The 16,046-nt window shown below is 54.3% G+C and overlaps 1 protein-coding gene across 5 annotated transcripts in view, besides 1 other annotated feature; it reads left to right on the forward strand.

The window, feature by feature from the left end:
- The window catches only part of NISCH (nischarin), a 37,465-nt gene that overhangs the window by 15,209 nt on the left and 6,210 nt on the right, over positions 1-16,046 (forward strand). For 2 of the 5 annotated variants that reach the window (NM_007184.4, XM_047447373.1), the window contains exons 4-15: positions 47-95; positions 1,002-1,165; positions 1,491-1,586; positions 2,922-3,017; positions 5,635-5,787; positions 6,762-6,830; positions 7,285-7,470; positions 7,637-7,765; positions 8,937-9,050; positions 9,372-9,483; positions 13,701-13,825; positions 14,966-15,015. In NM_007184.4, coding sequence (NP_009115.3) covers positions 47-95; positions 1,002-1,165; positions 1,491-1,586; positions 2,922-3,017; positions 5,635-5,787; positions 6,762-6,830; positions 7,285-7,470; positions 7,637-7,765; positions 8,937-9,050; positions 9,372-9,483; positions 13,701-13,825; positions 14,966-15,015 — 1,343 coding nt within the window. Of the gene's footprint in view, positions 1-46; positions 96-1,001; positions 1,166-1,490; positions 1,587-2,921; positions 3,018-5,634; positions 5,788-6,761; positions 6,831-7,284; positions 7,471-7,636; positions 7,766-8,936; positions 9,051-9,371; positions 11,956-13,700; positions 13,826-14,965; positions 15,016-16,046 lie in introns of those variants that run through there. The other 3 variants (NM_001276294.2, NM_001276293.2, XM_006712955.4) reach the window with 3 other exon arrangements.
- Positions 422-922: an enhancer, noted in NCBI's record as "H3K4me1 hESC enhancer chr3:52505250-52505750 (GRCh37/hg19 assembly coordinates)". NCBI's record gives its function as "activates a minimal SCP1, AML or CMV promoter by ChIP-STARR-seq in naive H9 embryonic stem cells {active_cell/tissue: H9 hESC(naive)}" and the evidence as "EXISTENCE:reporter gene assay evidence [ECO:0000049][PMID:30033119]".

A 16,046-nucleotide genomic window follows, 5' to 3' on the forward strand; every position in this document is an offset into this window, starting at 1 on the left:
TGGGGTCAGGTGGACTTTCTAAGGGCAAATTTTGTGTTCTCTGCAGGAGATAAATGGCATCACCGCGGCACTGGCTGAAGAGCTCTTTGAGAAAGGTATGTGGCCACATGTCCCTGAAATACTGAGCATAAGTTGTGTAGTTTTATGAGGCGGCCAGAGGCACAGGATGGCATAGAAGTCACTCTGGAGCCCACCTACCTCCCCTGTAGGTGGCCAGGTCTGAGGAGCTGTGGTCCTTCAGTACTCTTGAGTACCATGTCAGGGGCTCAGCCCAGACTTGGGCTGTGTTCCAAAGCGCTGTGGTGGGTGCTGGAAGGTGGGTAGCACACTGCTCCCTCGCACCTGGTTTGTGCTTACCTGAAAGGGCTCAGATGGCAGATAGAAGCTGACCCTGGGTCCCATCCCTGCCAGAGAGCACAGTTATAGTAGCTCATGTGTGATGAATGCTTCCTGTTTGCATCTTACTGCCTTCCCCCAGGAGCCACAGGTATAGGGAAGGATACGGGGTCAGCGGCCCAGTCACCAGCCTGAGGGCACATGGCTGGGAGGAGTGGAGCGAGGACCAAGCAGCAGTCAGTTGGGCTCAGAACCCATCCTGCTTCCAGGCTCTGCACCACGCTGGCACCATAGGCCTGCGCCTGACCTGGGTGTTTGCATTTCGGAGGTTGCAGCATAGGTGTGTCACCCAGAATGCTGTCCCTCTCCGCAGCCTCACTCTGGCCCAGTGCCTTTGGTCTCGACTCGGCCTCACTCCTCCCTCAGTGGCTCCCCAGCCTCACAGCCCCACAGCCCTGCCCTCCTCTGTCATCACATGTCTAGGGTTGCCCTGTGCCTAGCAGGCACCCAGGAGGGCAGCAGCTCCTGCATGCCCAGGGCGCTGGCTTTGCCCTGACACAGTGGGTGCTTGCCAACTGCTTGTTGACAGAAAAGGTGGAAATCCTGGCTGCACGAGGGCTGGGGCTGCGGCTGGACACTTATCCTTCAGGGCATGGCTCTTGCAGGAGAACAGCTCCTGGGGGCCGGCGAGGTCTTTGCCATTGGACCCCTGCAGCTGTATGCCGTCACGGAGCAGCTGCAGCAGGGAAAGCCCACGTGCGCCAGTGGGGATGCCAAGACCGACCTCGGGCACATCCTGGACTTCACCTGTCGCCTTAAGTACCTTAAGGTAAAGCTGCAGCAGCTCAGTCATGGAGAGCCCCGCAGTCGGTGGGGGTGCAACCTGCGGGGGACTGGCTGGCAGTTTGTGTGAAGGAGACCATGGGGGACTGTTGGTGGAAGGAAGGCCGCCCGGTTATTCTTGGCACTATGCTTCTGGCTGTGGGCACCAGGGGGCGGTCGTGACCCAGTGTCCCGTTAAATTAAGTCCTGGCCTGAGCCTGCTTTGTTGAAGACAGAAGTGGTCAAAGTTGTCTTCAACTTGTCAGCTGCTGCAGCACTCCCCGATGGGCATGCGACACTGTTCCCAATTTAAGCCTTATCTTTGGCTTCAGGTTTCTGGCACAGAAGGACCTTTTGGGACCAGCAACATTCAGGAGCAGCTCCTGCCGTTCGACCTATCAATATTCAAGTCCCTGCATCAGGTGGAGGTAAGGCCCAGCGCTGCACAGCATCCTCTCGCTCCCAACTCAGAGGCTAGAGAGTGTTTGTGATGTTGGGTGTCCTAATTTAATCATAAGGTGCTGTGCTTTCGTGTTTGGCAGTATGTGACAGGTTCTGCGTAGGTGACCAGGCCCTCTGAAGGCGGAGAAAGAGAGGCCTCTCCTGTCCCTGGCTGGTCTGCACACACCTTCCCTGGCGTGAGCTGCAGGGGCGGTTAGCCAGGGTGGAGCACCAGCACCTGGCTCATTCTAGGACTCCTCATAGGGGCAGGGGGCATGTGTACCTCAAGTTCAAGTCCTGGGAAGTCATCCTGGGGGTCAGACAGAACTAAATACAAGTCTGTATTTCCCAAGGCCGATTGGCAAAGAGCTTTGAAGATGCCCTGCCCTCTGGGGCACCCACACAAGAAACACTCTGCATCTGTCACTACTGGACTCTTTGGTTTGCGATGCCAATTTTAGCATTTTTGAAAAGAAAAGTCAGTAATGAATACAAAAAAAGTTTTAAAGCATAATTTTTTGAGCATGGCTTTTGTGTTCTGCCCTGTGGCCCCATGTCTCCTTGATTGAATCTTCCCAACAGCCCCGTGAAGAGGGCACTTTTATTTCCATTTTACAGTTGGGGAAACTGAGGCTTGGGCAGATAAGGAAGTTTGGCCAGGGCCACACAGTTAATGAGCGGAAACCTGGGATTTGAATTCAGCTGAGACTGCCTCCAGAGCCTCTGCTGTGCACTGGGCTGTTCCGTCTACAGTGGTCTAGGGAAACTTGTGGTGTGCCCTGCTGCCGATTGAGGACAGGGAAGTGAAGGGGAAACCCGACCCAGCCCTGCCAAGCAGGCTGAGGCTCTGGATCTGGGTCTTGGGTGTGCTTGGGCAGGTGGCTTGGGGAGTGTGCTTTGACCTGTGGCCTGCCCCTCCTCACCACAAGACAGCTCAGTTCCATGGAGTGGGGGCTGGGTGAACAGGAGGATCCACCCCACTCGCTGTGCTGTGGAGGCCCCTTGTTCTCCCCAGCAGTTTCCATGACCCACACTTTATGTTCACCTGCCAAGCCCCAGGCAGCCCTTACAGAGGAAATGGAATTTGTGGTCCATTGTGAGTCTGAGGGGCCAGGCACCTTTCTTACTAGATACTTCAGGGAATGTTTGGTCGGCACTGACACTGGGAAAAAGAGACACTTTGGTCTTGAGTGGCCTCCCATCTCTGAGGATTTGGGTTGCCTGTCATTGTGCTTTTGTATGGGGGTAGGAAACACCTGCATCTGGGGACTTCTGACGGAGCAAGGATTCTGTTTCTGAGATGCAGCTGTTCTTTGTTCCAGATAAGTCACTGTGATGCTAAGCACATCAGAGGGCTGGTCGCATCGAAGCCCACCTTAGCCACGCTGAGTGTCCGCTTCTCAGCAACCTCGATGAAGGTAAGCTTCACCTATATCCTGCCTGGGGCAATGTCTGTGGATCAGGGTCCTGGGCTGTGGTCTCCACCACTAAGGATGGGTGAGGACACTGCTATGTCTATCAGTATTCAGAGGCTGGACCTTCTGTGGGGTAGGCAGACACTCATGGGGGGCCTCCCAGCACTTGACAGCCCCTGGGACACTTTAGTTCACATCTGCATAAAAAGTTCGTGTTGTTAACAGGACATTTTAAGGAACTTGGCTTCTTTCCCCAAAAAATAAAAAATGTCATTGGTGTTTTTGTGTTGTTTTGTTTTTGTTTTGAGCTAGAGTCTTGCTCTGTGGCCCAGACTGGAGTACAGTGGTATGATCTCAGCTCCCTGCAACCTCTACCTCCTGGGGTCAAGCGATTCTCCTACCTCAGCCTCCCAAGTAGCTGGGATTACAGGTGCCTGCCACCATGCCCCGCTAAGTTTTGTTTTTTGTTGTTGTTGTTGTTGTTTTTTGAGACAGAGTTTTGCTCTGTCACCCAGGCTGGAGTGCAGTGGCGCGATCTTGGCTCACTGCAAGCTCTGCCTCCCGGGTTCACGCCATTCTCCTGCCTCAGCCTCCCAAGTAGCTGGGACTACAGGTGCCCGCCACCACACCCAGCTAATTTTTTGTATTTTTAGTAGAGACGGGGTTTCACCATGTTAGCCAGGATGGTCTCGATCTCCTGACCTCGTGATCCACCCGCCTCGGCCTCCCAAAGTGCTGGGATTACAGGCGTGAGCCACCGCGCCCGGCCTAGGTTTTGTATTTTTAGTAGAGACAGGGTTTTACCACGTTGGCCAGGCTGATCTCGAACTCCTGACCTCAAGTGATCCACCAGCCTCAGCCTCCCAAAGTGCTGGGATTACAGGCATGAGCCACTTCAGCCGGCCGTCATTGGTTTTTTAATGAACAAATTGCTAAGCTGTGGCAAGTGGCGGGACCTTTATTAATTAGATTGATAACTAAGCTTAGATTGCTCCTCTAAGCTTTAGCAATCCCTGGCTAAGCACTCATTTGTATCTTTTTCCCCACGGCTTGATTAGAAGGTGAGGTTGTGGAAATGCTAGGCCATGTTGTTTATATGTGAGCAGCAGAAACATTCAAATTGGGAATGTTTCTGTTTACCTTTTTATGGATTACATCTTGCTAATGTTAAAATCTTTCCCTGGGTATAGAAAAGGCATGTAGTGGCTAATATTATGACTTAAGGTTCCTGATCAAGACTTAGGTTTGGGCCAGGTGTGGTGGCTCATGCCTGTAATCCCGGCATTTTGGGAGGCCAAGGCAGGAGGATTCCTTGAGCCTAGGAGTTGGAGACCAACCTGGGCAACATAGGGAGACCTTGTCTCTTAAAAAAAAAAAAAAAAAATTGGATTTGGTGAAAAATTTTCCTCTTGAGGCTTGCAGAGAGTGTGTTGGGCCACCTGGTCCCTCTCCGAGCACTTCTCACTGTCTTGCTGAAGGAGCCCAGGGCGACCCATTGTGAGAAGAAAGGTCTTGTCAAAACAAATAGGCCTGCCTTTCTCCATTTTGATGGTCTCTGGGCTTTGTGCTACTCCCCTTATCTTAGCATTGTCTGACTTTATTCCTGTGAAATAATGGTTTTAAAGGCCTGGTGTCCACAGTGAGGACCACATCATCAGCTTGGAAAGCACAGCTGCCTGGAAACTGAATTCTCACCTTCAGCCTCTGAGAAGCTAGAAAAGACGGTTGGCTGGCCAGTAGCAGTGGCTTGCACCTATAATCCCAGCACTTTGGGAGGCCAAGGCAGGAGGATCACTTGAGCCCAGGAGTTTGAGACCAGTCTGGGCTATGTAGGGAGACCTCGTTTCTACAGAAAAAAATTTTTTAATTAGCTGGGCAAGGTGGTGTACGCCTGTAGTCCCAGCTACTCAAGAGGCTGAGATGGGAGGATTTGCTTGTGCCTGCGAGTTTGAGGCTGCAGTGAGCCATGATGGCGCCACTGTACTCCAGCCTGGGTGACAGAGTGAGACTGTGTCTCAAAGAAAAAACGGCTAGGCGCTGTGGCTCACGTCTGTAATCCCAGCACTTTGGGAGGCTGAGGTGGGTGGATCACCTGAAGTCAGGAGTTTGAGACCAGCCTTGCCAACATGGTGAAGCCCCCATCTCTATTAAAAATGCAAAAATTAGCCAGGCATGGTGGTACACACCTCTAGTCCCAGCTACTGGGGAGGCTAAGACAGAAGGATGGCTTGAGCCTGCGAGGCAGAGGTGGCAGTGAACTGAGATTGCGCCACTGCACTCCAGCCTGGGTGACAGAGCGAGACTCCATCTCAAAAAAGAGAAAAGGCTAGAAAAGGCATCACCAGGTCACCAGGGCAAAGGCCCTTTGGGCTTGAAAAGCATTGCTCCTAAAGCAGGGCCAGGACTTAATTCTAAGTGGCTGTTATGTGGTAAATTGTTCAGCTTTGAACGATTTCACAATCGTTTAAAGACATAGGAACCAAAGGCATGCTTTAATGCAAGTTTACTTCCACATGCTAAATATGCTCCAGCCCTTCCTTAAATTCTGCAACGACTGTGTTCCCAGTGAGTGTTGCGTGAGGGCCCGAGTGTGGTGCTCCACACAGATGTTTTTATGCAGGAAGTCCTTGTTCCTGAAGCCTCAGAATTTGATGAGTGGGAGCCTGAAGGCACAACCCTAGAAGGCCCTGTGACTGCCGTCATCCCCACTTGGCAGGCATTGACCACGCTTGACCTGAGCCACAACAGCGTCTCCGAGATCGACGAGTCTGTGGTATGCTCTCAGCAGCAGGTGCCAGGGGTTTCTCTGGCCCCACCAAACCCTGAGTTTGAGTATTTAACTCAGCTTTTTTAGGAAGGACCACGGAAAACCTATATCTAGTGCTCTGTGCATTGCCTGCCATTTTAAGTTAATTACAAAATGGGGGCTGGGCGTGGTGGGTCACACCTGTAATCCCAGCACTTTGGGAGGCCGAGGCGGGAGGATCACTTGAGGTCAGGAGTTCGAGACCAGCCTGACCAATGTGGTGAAACCCCATCTCTACTAAAAATACAAAAATTAGCTGGGTGTGGTGGTGCACACCTGTAATCCCAGCTACTTTGGGAGGCTTAGGCAGGAGAATCGCTTGAACCCGGGAGGCGGATGTTGCAGTGAGCTGAGATAGGGCCACTGCATTCCAGCCTGGGCGACAGAGTGAGACTCCGTCTCAAAAGAAGAAAAAAAAATGGGATCATTTAAAATTGGTGAGGTAGTACTTAGAACCAAATAAAACATAATAATTTCATGTAAATTTGGTAAACTATAACACACTAAATGATGACATTTGCTCCAAAGAGTGGAGCAGAAAAATCACTCCTTAGATGACAGATGTGCCCATGAAAGAATGACACCCAGAGGGCATTTGGGCAGTAAGAGTGTCGTTCCCGTGTTTGCGCTGCTCAGGGAGTGTGGGCAGGGTTGAAGAAGAACAGACTCTCTTCTCTGTCTGGGACCTTGCTGTGTGTCATTTTCACAAGCCAAGTGTTCCATGAAAACTGAGTAGTGCCCAGCACTGGGGGCCCTGTGTGTGCCTTTGGATGTGCTACTGGCTGGGCAGCGGGAGATGTCCCACCAGTGGTCCTGCAGGGACGGCCCGTGGGAGTCCATGGTCGGGAGGAAGCGTCCTGGGGTGCCCGTCCACTGTGTCGGGGACCGTGTTTGGGGTCCAGCCCCCTACAGTAACATCGGGTGTTCTTTTCTTTCACAAGAAACTGATCCCAAAGATTGAGTTCCTGGACCTGAGTCACAATGGATTGCTGGTTGTGGACAATCTGCAGGTAGTGCCTTTGGAGACCAGTGCTGCCCGCACACACTCCCAAGGCCCCGCCCTGAGATTTCAGGAGACTGACGCAGCCTTGGGAATTGGCCAGGGGTTGTAAGGGCAGGGGTTGCTGTCTTCGCTTTAGGATCCCAGCAATGCACTGAGTGATTGTTGCTCTAGTTCCAAAGAATTAGGAAGCATGAGTAAATACAAACCAGGCATGATGATGCACCTCCGTCCTGAAGGTGGACAGCCATGTTTTCAACGCCCACCCCAACTGTCTGCAGGGGTGCCACTGTGCTGTGGCATGTGCGGCAGAGAAGAGGGACTTCCCTTCCTAAAATAACTGTCAGAGTGACTTGCAGAACTGGGTAGTTTGGGTTGGAAGGCCCATCCTGCCATTAGTGTCAGGCCCCTATCTTTGGAGACTTGACCTGAGCCACTTTACGCTGTTCTCCACGCCGCTGCAGCACCTGTATAACCTTGTGCATCTGGACCTGTCCTACAACAAGCTCTCCTCCTTGGAAGGGCTTCACACCAAGCTGGGGAACATCAAGACCTTAAACCTGGCAGGCAACCTCCTAGAGAGTCTGAGTGGCCTGCACAAGCTCTACTCACTGGTCAACCTGGATCTCCGGGACAACAGGATCGAACAGGTGAGCCCAAGGACCTCACAGTTTTGGGATTTCTGTGCCTTGGTGTGTATCATGTTAAAGAAGAATGTTAAGATTCCTTTCATTTAAAAGAGACCATGAAACGTGTTGGCGTGTTGCTGAAGTGTTAAGAGAAGGGACCAAAGGGGATGGAACTCATACCTTGCAGATGGAGGAGGTCCGGAGCATAGGCAGCCTCCCGTGTCTGGAGCACGTGTCTCTGCTGAACAACCCTCTGAGCATCATCCCCGACTACCGGACCAAGGTGCTGGCTCAGTTCGGAGAGAGGGCCTCAGAGGTGAGCCCCAGCACAGTCAGAAGAGCCCAGGGAGACCTTCGGGATGCAGTCAAGTCTGCATGGGCGGTAGGGGGATATATGTCCATTGTTCTACCCTTGCCTGCTTCAGAAAGAGGTCCTGTCCCTTAGGGGCTTTTCAGTTCTGGGAAGTCCACTATCTCCCCAGGAAAAAGCTCCCTTGCATCTCCTGCCCCTACTGTCTGGGATAACATTGTTTATTCTAGGAAAGGGTCAGAAATAAGATCCTTAAAATATTCATATCTCCTGGACAACCTGTGGCCATAGTGCCTGACTGTAAACCCAAAGGGTTTGCCTTTGCCAGTGTAGCCCAGCCTGGTGTCTGCTGCCCCTCGCGGTGTCTGTGCACCTGCCACGATGCTGACCAGACACCCTTAACCAGGTTCACCCATCGCCTGGGCCTGGAGCAGTCCCCGTGATGCTCTGATTGGTCCTTGGACCTTCTGTTCTCCCAAAATCCCAGGTCAGAAAATACCTGGAAGTCTATTTGTGTCCCACCTCCCTCTTTGTGGCCGCAAGTGCCCCTTCCTCCACACAGTCACAAGACCATGAGATGCCATCTCCTCCCCTCCTGGGCTGCAGACTTTGGGAAGCTCCCAGGCCACAGAGTGTCAGCTCCTGTCCAGGCCCTTGGGACCTTCCCTCATTCAACCACCCTACCCAACCCCCCACTGCCTGCCAGCCACCACTCCCTCCCACATTTGCAGGCGGGGGCCCTGCCCTCTCCTGCCGCTGGTTCCCCTACCCAGGAGGCTCTCCCATCGCTCTTTTGAGAGTCTGCCTCCCACCTCTAACTGGGGGCTTAGTTCAAGTTGCCCCCTTACCCTAGTCCCAGCTGCCCAAGAGCTTGCTGCCTCCTGTTCTTGGTGAGGGACTCCAGAGACAGATGTGAGACCTCCCTGGACCCCTCCAAGGCATTCCCAGGTCACTTCCATGAGTAGTGAAGAGCCGCCTCTGAGCAGGCTGAGCCTCCCTCAGCCTATGGTGTCCTCACGTGGCCTGGCCCACAGCAGGTGCTCACGCCTCCTCCTCAGCAGAGCCCTACCATCCTCCTGCCATGCTCACCAGTCCCCATGCTGATAGCCATCACCAGTCCCCATGCTGATAGCCATCACCAGTCCCCATGCTGATAGCCACTTTCTGGATGCTCTAGGTCTGTCTGGATGACACAGTGACCACAGAGAAGGAGCTGGACACTGTGGAAGTGCTGAAAGCAATTCAGAAAGCCAAGGAGGTCAAGTCCAAACTGAGCAACCCAGAGAAGAAGGTGGGTTTGTGTGGCAGGTGGGAGGGCAGTGGTGCAGAGCCAGCCGGGATAGGAGCCAGTTTGGGGGGCTTGGGCCATGGGACTGCTCAGGGCTGCCGAGTCCCAGCTGCGCCCCTCCCTGGCTGCATGACCTCGGGCAAGTCGCGGCCTCTCTGTTCTCTGTGGGGTGGGGACAGTGGTAGTTCCTGCTCTAAGGATATGATGAGACCATCTTTACCACCCAGTTGGTGGGAACCGTTGCGCTCCCTCCTCACACCCCTGGCCTTGGGGAGCTCTGTGCTTCCTCTTCTCTCCCGGGCTGACTCAAGCACTCGTCCTCAGGGTGGTGAAGACTCCCGGCTCTCAGCTGCCCCCTGCATCAGACCCAGCAGCTCCCCTCCCACTGTGGCTCCCGCATCTGCCTCCCTGCCCCAGCCCATCCTCTCTAACCAAGGTAATCGTGTATGTATCTTGCTTCTAGTGGAGCCACACAGCCCTGCCTGGGCCCCCTGGCTGGGCTGGGGTTGGGGGAGAGGTGCCAGCACCTGCTTCCAACAGGGTCAGACACAGGGAGGGCAGTGCCTTCTGCAGGCTGGTCCTCGCGGGGGGACACATGGCAGGGGTGCCTGGCCTGATGCCAGCTGTTGCTTGCTTGGTGAGGACTCCCAATTGCTCTGATGCCCACATCCAGCTCCTCTAGGAGACCGCAGGGTGTCTGACAGGCCCTGAGGCTGCCCTCTGAACAGGCTCGGGGCTGTTGGCTCATGGGACCCATTCCCTCACCGGCAGCACAAGCAGGTTGGCTCCTGGTTACAGGAAGCCGGGCTTGTGACTTTACTGTCTGGAGCCCGAATCCCTGTGCAGGGAAAAGCTTGCTTTTATCACTGCCTCATCTCTGTGGGGTGACCCAGCCCCAGAACACCATGTTTGTGGGGCCAAGATGGGCCATCTCTGTCCCTGTGGACCCATGGAAGACCAGGCCCATTCGTCTGCCCACTATCTTAGCGTTTTCAAAGGGCTTTCACCTCTGAACCCAGGCATCCTCGGAGATGAGTGAGTGAAGCAGGTCTCATGAGCGTGTCTGCTGGCCCGGCCCCCACGGAAGAGGGGAGGGTGTGCCGTCCCGAGTGGAGCCGAGGCTCGGGACACGCAGGAAAGGACGCCGCCTGCCCGGGCTCCTGGAGACGCAGAACTTGGTGTGAGGTCTTGGGAAAACAGTTCAACCCGATGTTTTAAGAGCCAGAAAAACATTCCCACCCCTTGACCTGGTAACCCCACTGGTGGGGATTTTCTCTTAGAGGGATAAGATACCGGGAAGGGGAGGTGAAATGCTCACCACTGCCAAAACACGGGCTGCAACTGCAACATCGGAGGATGAGAGGGAGAGTCGGCTGTGGTGCAGAATGCTCAGCAGCCCTCCCAGCAGGGACAGGAAGACTGGGCAGGAAGAGGGGAGAAGCATTCAAGTTAAGGCAAAAGGCCCAACGCAGAGCAGCACACTGAGGTCACACCTGTGAGATGTGGAAGAGAATTCCTGAGCGTGGAGCGATGGGGTTAGGTGCCAGGATGATTGCCCATTTTGCTTCTGTCAGACTCTTGACTAAGGATTTCTGGTTGCATTTTATTACATAAAAGCCAGGGAGGTTATATCACGGTGAGAAAGCTTCCCTGACGCTGCCTCCTGTAGCGCAGCCAAGCGAGCCTGTGGAGGTACCATATGACTGTAGGCCTCTGGGGACAGGGAGCTGCATCTGCTTCTCAAGGCCAGGGACACAGCCATTTCTGCCAGCATCTGTTGATCAGTGAGTGAGTGAGTGGGCAGGTAGAGCAGGAGCCAGTGAAGAGCAGGCCCTGGATGGGTGGGGATGCACCATGTCCCCAGGCTGCAGCTGCAGGCAGCCCCCCACATTGTCGGAGAAGCCTCTGCACCAGCTCAGCCCCCTCCTCACTCCCCTTGTGCCCTGGGGACACTCTGCAGAGGGGCACTCTGCAGTCTGTCCCCGCCATCGCTGGACTTCTGGACATGGCCTCCAGATTTGCACCTCTTAAATAAAACTGCAGTGGATGTCTTTGTGTGCACCTCTCTTTCCTTTTGGTGAGAAACAGCAAAGATCGGACCCCTAAGGACTCTCCTGATGTCTCCGCTCTATCCGCTGAGTGCCCTTTCTGACCACTTGTTTGTACAGGCCACGGTCCAGGACGGGAGCAGATAGACTGTCCCTGTCCCTGTCCACATTTCCTTGGTCCAAACAGGGCTTGTGGGAGGTAGTGGCAAAAGGTGTTGGTCTTTTTCTCACTGATTTGGAGGCCTCCCCGTGTGTTTTTTCAGCCGCGTGTTCCTGGGTCTTGCCTGGATGGACAGGGTTTTTTAGCGCGTGGGAGCAGCTTTGCTGACCCATGCCTGTTGCTTCCAGCCTGATTCCCGAGAAGGGAGCCTGCTTGCGAAGGAACTGGCACTCGGGCCTGCCTGAAGGGGGCGCTGTCCAGACAACACCCAGCCTCCCGTCGTGGCAGGCGCTGTCGGAGCCATGGATGATTGTGACCAATAGGGGTGGTCGCCAGAGTTGATTGTCCAGCCAGGCCCAGGGGCTGAGAGGAGGCTGTGTGGAGAGGTGGTTAGGAGCCAGGGCTCGGTCAGCTGAGTTCGCATGCCAGCTTCCTAGCTGTGGGACCTCAAGCAACTTGTAGCCCCTCTGAAGCTGTTTTCTCAACTGTGAAGTGGACGCACCCTACTTCATTGATTCTAAGAGGCACGCATTTCCACCTTGTGACTTCTCTGAAACTGAGGTGCGTCTTTCAGTCAGTGGCGTCTCATAGTCGCTGTCAGCCAGCTGGTATTCGAGATGGAGTCGTGGAAAACCCGTGGACACCTTCCGCTAGGACCAAGATGGCGCCACCTGCCGCATCTTAGATTTGATGAAATGTGGTAAATAACGAGAGGCATGCATGAGCGAATGCTGGGGAGGCGCTTGGCACTACCCAGAGCTCCACAGAGGTGGTCGATGAGGGCTGCCCTTTCCCACATCCTTAGTAGGGGGTTCAAGATGACCCAGACTGTGCCCCTGGGGAGCTTGGAGCCATGCGGGAGGATGAGCCATGTGCTGGAGGAGAACAGGGTAGGATGGTGTGGGGCTTTTGTAGACTGTCTAGAGCAGAGAAGGTCTGCAGTGGAGGTGGTGTCTGAGGTGAATCTCGAAGGTGAATAGGAGTTGAACGTTAGCAGGCAGAGGGTGGATTGCAGGAGAGCAGCGGCCTGGGCAGGTGCCCAGCGTGGCCCATCAGGGTGCTTCATGCATGGCTGTGTGCTTGCCATCCTTCCTGCCTGCCTACCCCCTGCTGCTTCGCTTCGTGGGGGCGTTTGAGCTTGGGCCCACCTGCCTGCCTCGCTTGTGGGCAGAGGACCCAGGCTGTGTGAGTTGTCCTGTCCCGGGGAGCAGCTGAGCTGGTCGGGGGTCTCGACCTGTGGGGCTCAGAGGACTCGGGGTCATTTCACTGGGCTGTGGCGATGCTGGGCTGTGGAGGTAGGCCTAGGGCTCCTGTAGGCCTCAGTGAGACTGGCGGCCGATGCCCAGTGTTCACCCTGCTGGCGGCAGTCAGGAACATGTTCACAAAGGCTTTACCTTCAAGTGGTCTAGAGGTGATCTGAGGTGGAGTAACAGGTCCAGATAGGCTACGTTCATAAAACAGCTTCAGCGGGGTTTAGGAACACTGTGCATTTACGGGACGCAGTGGGTCAGAGTGCTGCTGTCCGTGGGAGGTGGCCCCAGGGCAGGTCAGTGGGCACGTCCTGTGGTAAGTGGGACTGTGGATGTGGGCTCAGGCTGGACTCAGCAGCCCTGCTGGATACCAAGGCCTGCAAGGGCTGGCCCCCTGGTGAATTGTCCCGTGCCCTGTGTATCTATGAGTCCTGCAGAGATGACAAATCAGGGGACGGGGTCATGTCTAGTCACCGTCTGGGAAAATGCTCCAGGAGTGAACACATTTCAGGCTCTTGATGGATGTACCTCCAAACTCTTCTCTGGATGGGTGGGCCAGCTTGCATGCCTGTGCCGGCCTCTGCCCAGCGAGGTCAGGGCCAGGCCACACAGTCAGTCTGACTTTGGCAGAAGTTGAGAGGCAACACTTGTCTCTTGTTTCAGCTTGCCTTTCTTTGTGTACTTCTGAGAGCGAGCATTCTTTTCATGTTCTATCCGCTGGCCGTTCTTCTGCGGAATGTCTGTTCACGTCCTTTGCAGTCTGTTAATGAGGTTTCCAACCTTCCCTCATTTTTGTAATCTGTAAGAACTTTTTACAGACTAGCGATATAAATCCTTGTCAAATATTGCAAACACTTTTCTCATTTCATCTGGTTTTAATCTATCCTGGTTTTTAAAAAATGTGTCTGTGGAAGTTTAATTTTTATGTAGTCACATCTCAGTTTTTTTCCATTGCATTTATTCTCAGAATGCTTCTCCCTGCCCTGAGATTAGATAAGCAGTCATTTGTTCTTTCTTGAGTTATTTTGAGATTTCAGTTTTAACATTTTCTTCTATAATCCATGTGGCTGGGTTTTGGGATCTGGCTAACCCCCGCCATGCCAGTAGCCTGAGGGGCCCAGCCCCACTTGTTGAACAGCCGCTCTCCCCGCCCCACCCACCCTGCCTGCCTGCCCACCCGCCCTGGTCTCTCCAGGAATCATGTTCGTTCAGGAGGAGGCCCTGGCCAGCAGCCTCTCGTCCACTGACAGTCTGACTCCCGAGCACCAGCCCATTGCCCAGGGATGTTCTGATTCCTTGGAGTCCATCCCTGCGGGACAGGTAATGCCCTCTTCCCGCTTCTGGGGACCATACATCTGTGGGTGGACTCTTCTGCTTGGGGTTGTGTGCAGTAGGAAGTGGCCTAGCTGGAGCTGAGGCAGATGCTTCCAGGGTTTGGCGTCCTCTGCTTTGTGCCACGGTCTTTCTCTTGGACCTGTCTCTGGTTGAGTGTCTTCCTGACAAACACAGTGGTTAAGGGTTTATTTTCAGCCTCCCTCCTTCCCTTCCCCACCCACCTTGGTTGATGGGAACAGGCAGTTCTCTGTCACTGGGCCCAGGGCACGAGGGGGGCAGGTGGAGAGGGTGGCCCTTGACCCTGTGAGCAGGCTTCCCTGGGGAAGGCATTTCAAAAGACCCTCGTGCAGGGGCTTGTTTGGGTTTCTTCTCTGTTTCCTGGCACCCCTGGAGCCACTCGGCGCCTTTCCGCATGTCACCCTGGTGGTCTGGGAAACAGTCTCACTCTGGCGCCTCCTCTGTGGTTGTTACTGAGAGTTCTGGGGCCCCTTCCTTTGTCCTGAGGAAAGACAGGAGGAAAGCAAGGGTGCTTGCTGTGTGCTTCGCAAATGTGCTTGGTGCCTGGGCCTCCCTCCAGCCCCATCTCTGCAGCAGCACAAGGTTATGGCCTTGTGACACTGGGACAGTTTGCAGAGTCCTTGTCTGTCCTCAGTACTCCACAGTATTCTGCCATCACCCTTTCCAGGGTCACACAGCAAGAGATTCCCAAGCCCTAGGTATTCCCCAGTGCACAGAGACCATTGGGAGGGACTTGCCAGGGCTGTGTCCACTGCTGGCCAGTTAGGGTCGGACCAAATTTGTAGACTGTCTACCTGGACCCTTGCGTGGCACAAGGAGCAGTCAGATGCTGGATCCCTGGAGAGTGGCGAGAGGCTCTGGCCCTAGGTTGCGAGTGGGAATCCCAGCCCTGCTGTGTGCTGGTGGGATAACCAAGTGGGTCTCTGCCCTTGGGTCCCAGAGTGGGCCCCAGGGTCCCAGAGTGGGCTCCAGGGTACAGCGTGGGGATGGGGAGCCTCCTCAGGGCGGTGATGGAGGGCAGAATGCCCAGCTCAGGGTCTGGCAACCAGTAAATGGCTGGGGCTGGCTGCAGTAGGTGGGGACTGACTGTGTTTCTTTCTCCATCAGGCAGCTTCCGATGATTTAAGGGACGTGCCAGGAGCTGTTGGTGGTGCAAGGTAAGGAAGAGGTTGGAAAGGGACCTGGGCCTGGCCACACAGCCTTATGCACACACACTGCTGTGGGCCAGGGGTGGCCAGTCAGGTTTTTTTAAAAATCCGTTCACAGAAGGCCTATAGAACTATTTCTTCCTCTAAAGAGACACAGATGAGATGGACTTTTCAATCTGTTTCCAAATTCTAATACCTAAACTCTGCTCAGCACATGTTGCCCTACACCAGGGGTTGGCAAATCAAGGCCTGTGTGTGGCCCACAGCCTGGGAGCTAAGAATGACAGTTACATTCTTTTTTCTTTTTTTGAGACTGAGTCTCGCTCTGTCGCCCAGGCTGGAGTGCAGTGGCGTGTTCTTGGCTCACTGCAACCCCCGCCTCCCAGATTAATGCAATTTTCCTGTCTCAGCCTCAGCCTTCTGAGTAGCCCGGACCACAGGCGCACGCCACCACGCCCAACTAATTTTTTATATTTTTAGTAGAGACAGAGATTCACCATGTTGCCTAGCTGGTCTCGAACTCCTGAACTCCAGTGATCCACCAACCTCGGCCTCCTAAAGTACTGGAATTACAGGCATGAGCCACCGCGCCTGGCTAGAATAACAGTTACTTTTTTTTTCTTTGAGACTGAGTCTTGCTTTGTCACCCAGGCTGGAGTGCAGTGGCCCGATCTCAGCTCGCTGCAACCTCCGCCTCCCGGGTTCAAGCGATTCTTCTGCCTCAGCCACCCAAGGTGCCCGCCACCACACCTGGCTAATTTTTCTGTTTTTAGTAGGGACAGGATTTCGCCATGTTGGACAGTTACATTCTTAAAGGGCTGCTGAAGATCGTATGGACATGGTAGCCCATAAATCCCAAAATGTGTACTCTGACCCTTTACAGAAGCTTACTAACTCCCACTCTACATGTGAGGGCTGCGGTGGCCAAGAAGAGCTGGAATTTAAGTGTGAAGGTCCTAAGACCTGCCCCAGCCCACTTCCCTGCCCCGGAGGCCACCAGGGGTGACAAGTAGATTCATGCCCTGGAGTGTTCCTTCTCT

This window comes from Homo sapiens, chromosome 3 (assembly GCF_000001405.40).
Source record: "Homo sapiens chromosome 3, GRCh38.p14 Primary Assembly".
NCBI classification, from domain to species: domain Eukaryota; kingdom Metazoa; phylum Chordata; class Mammalia; order Primates; family Hominidae; genus Homo; species Homo sapiens.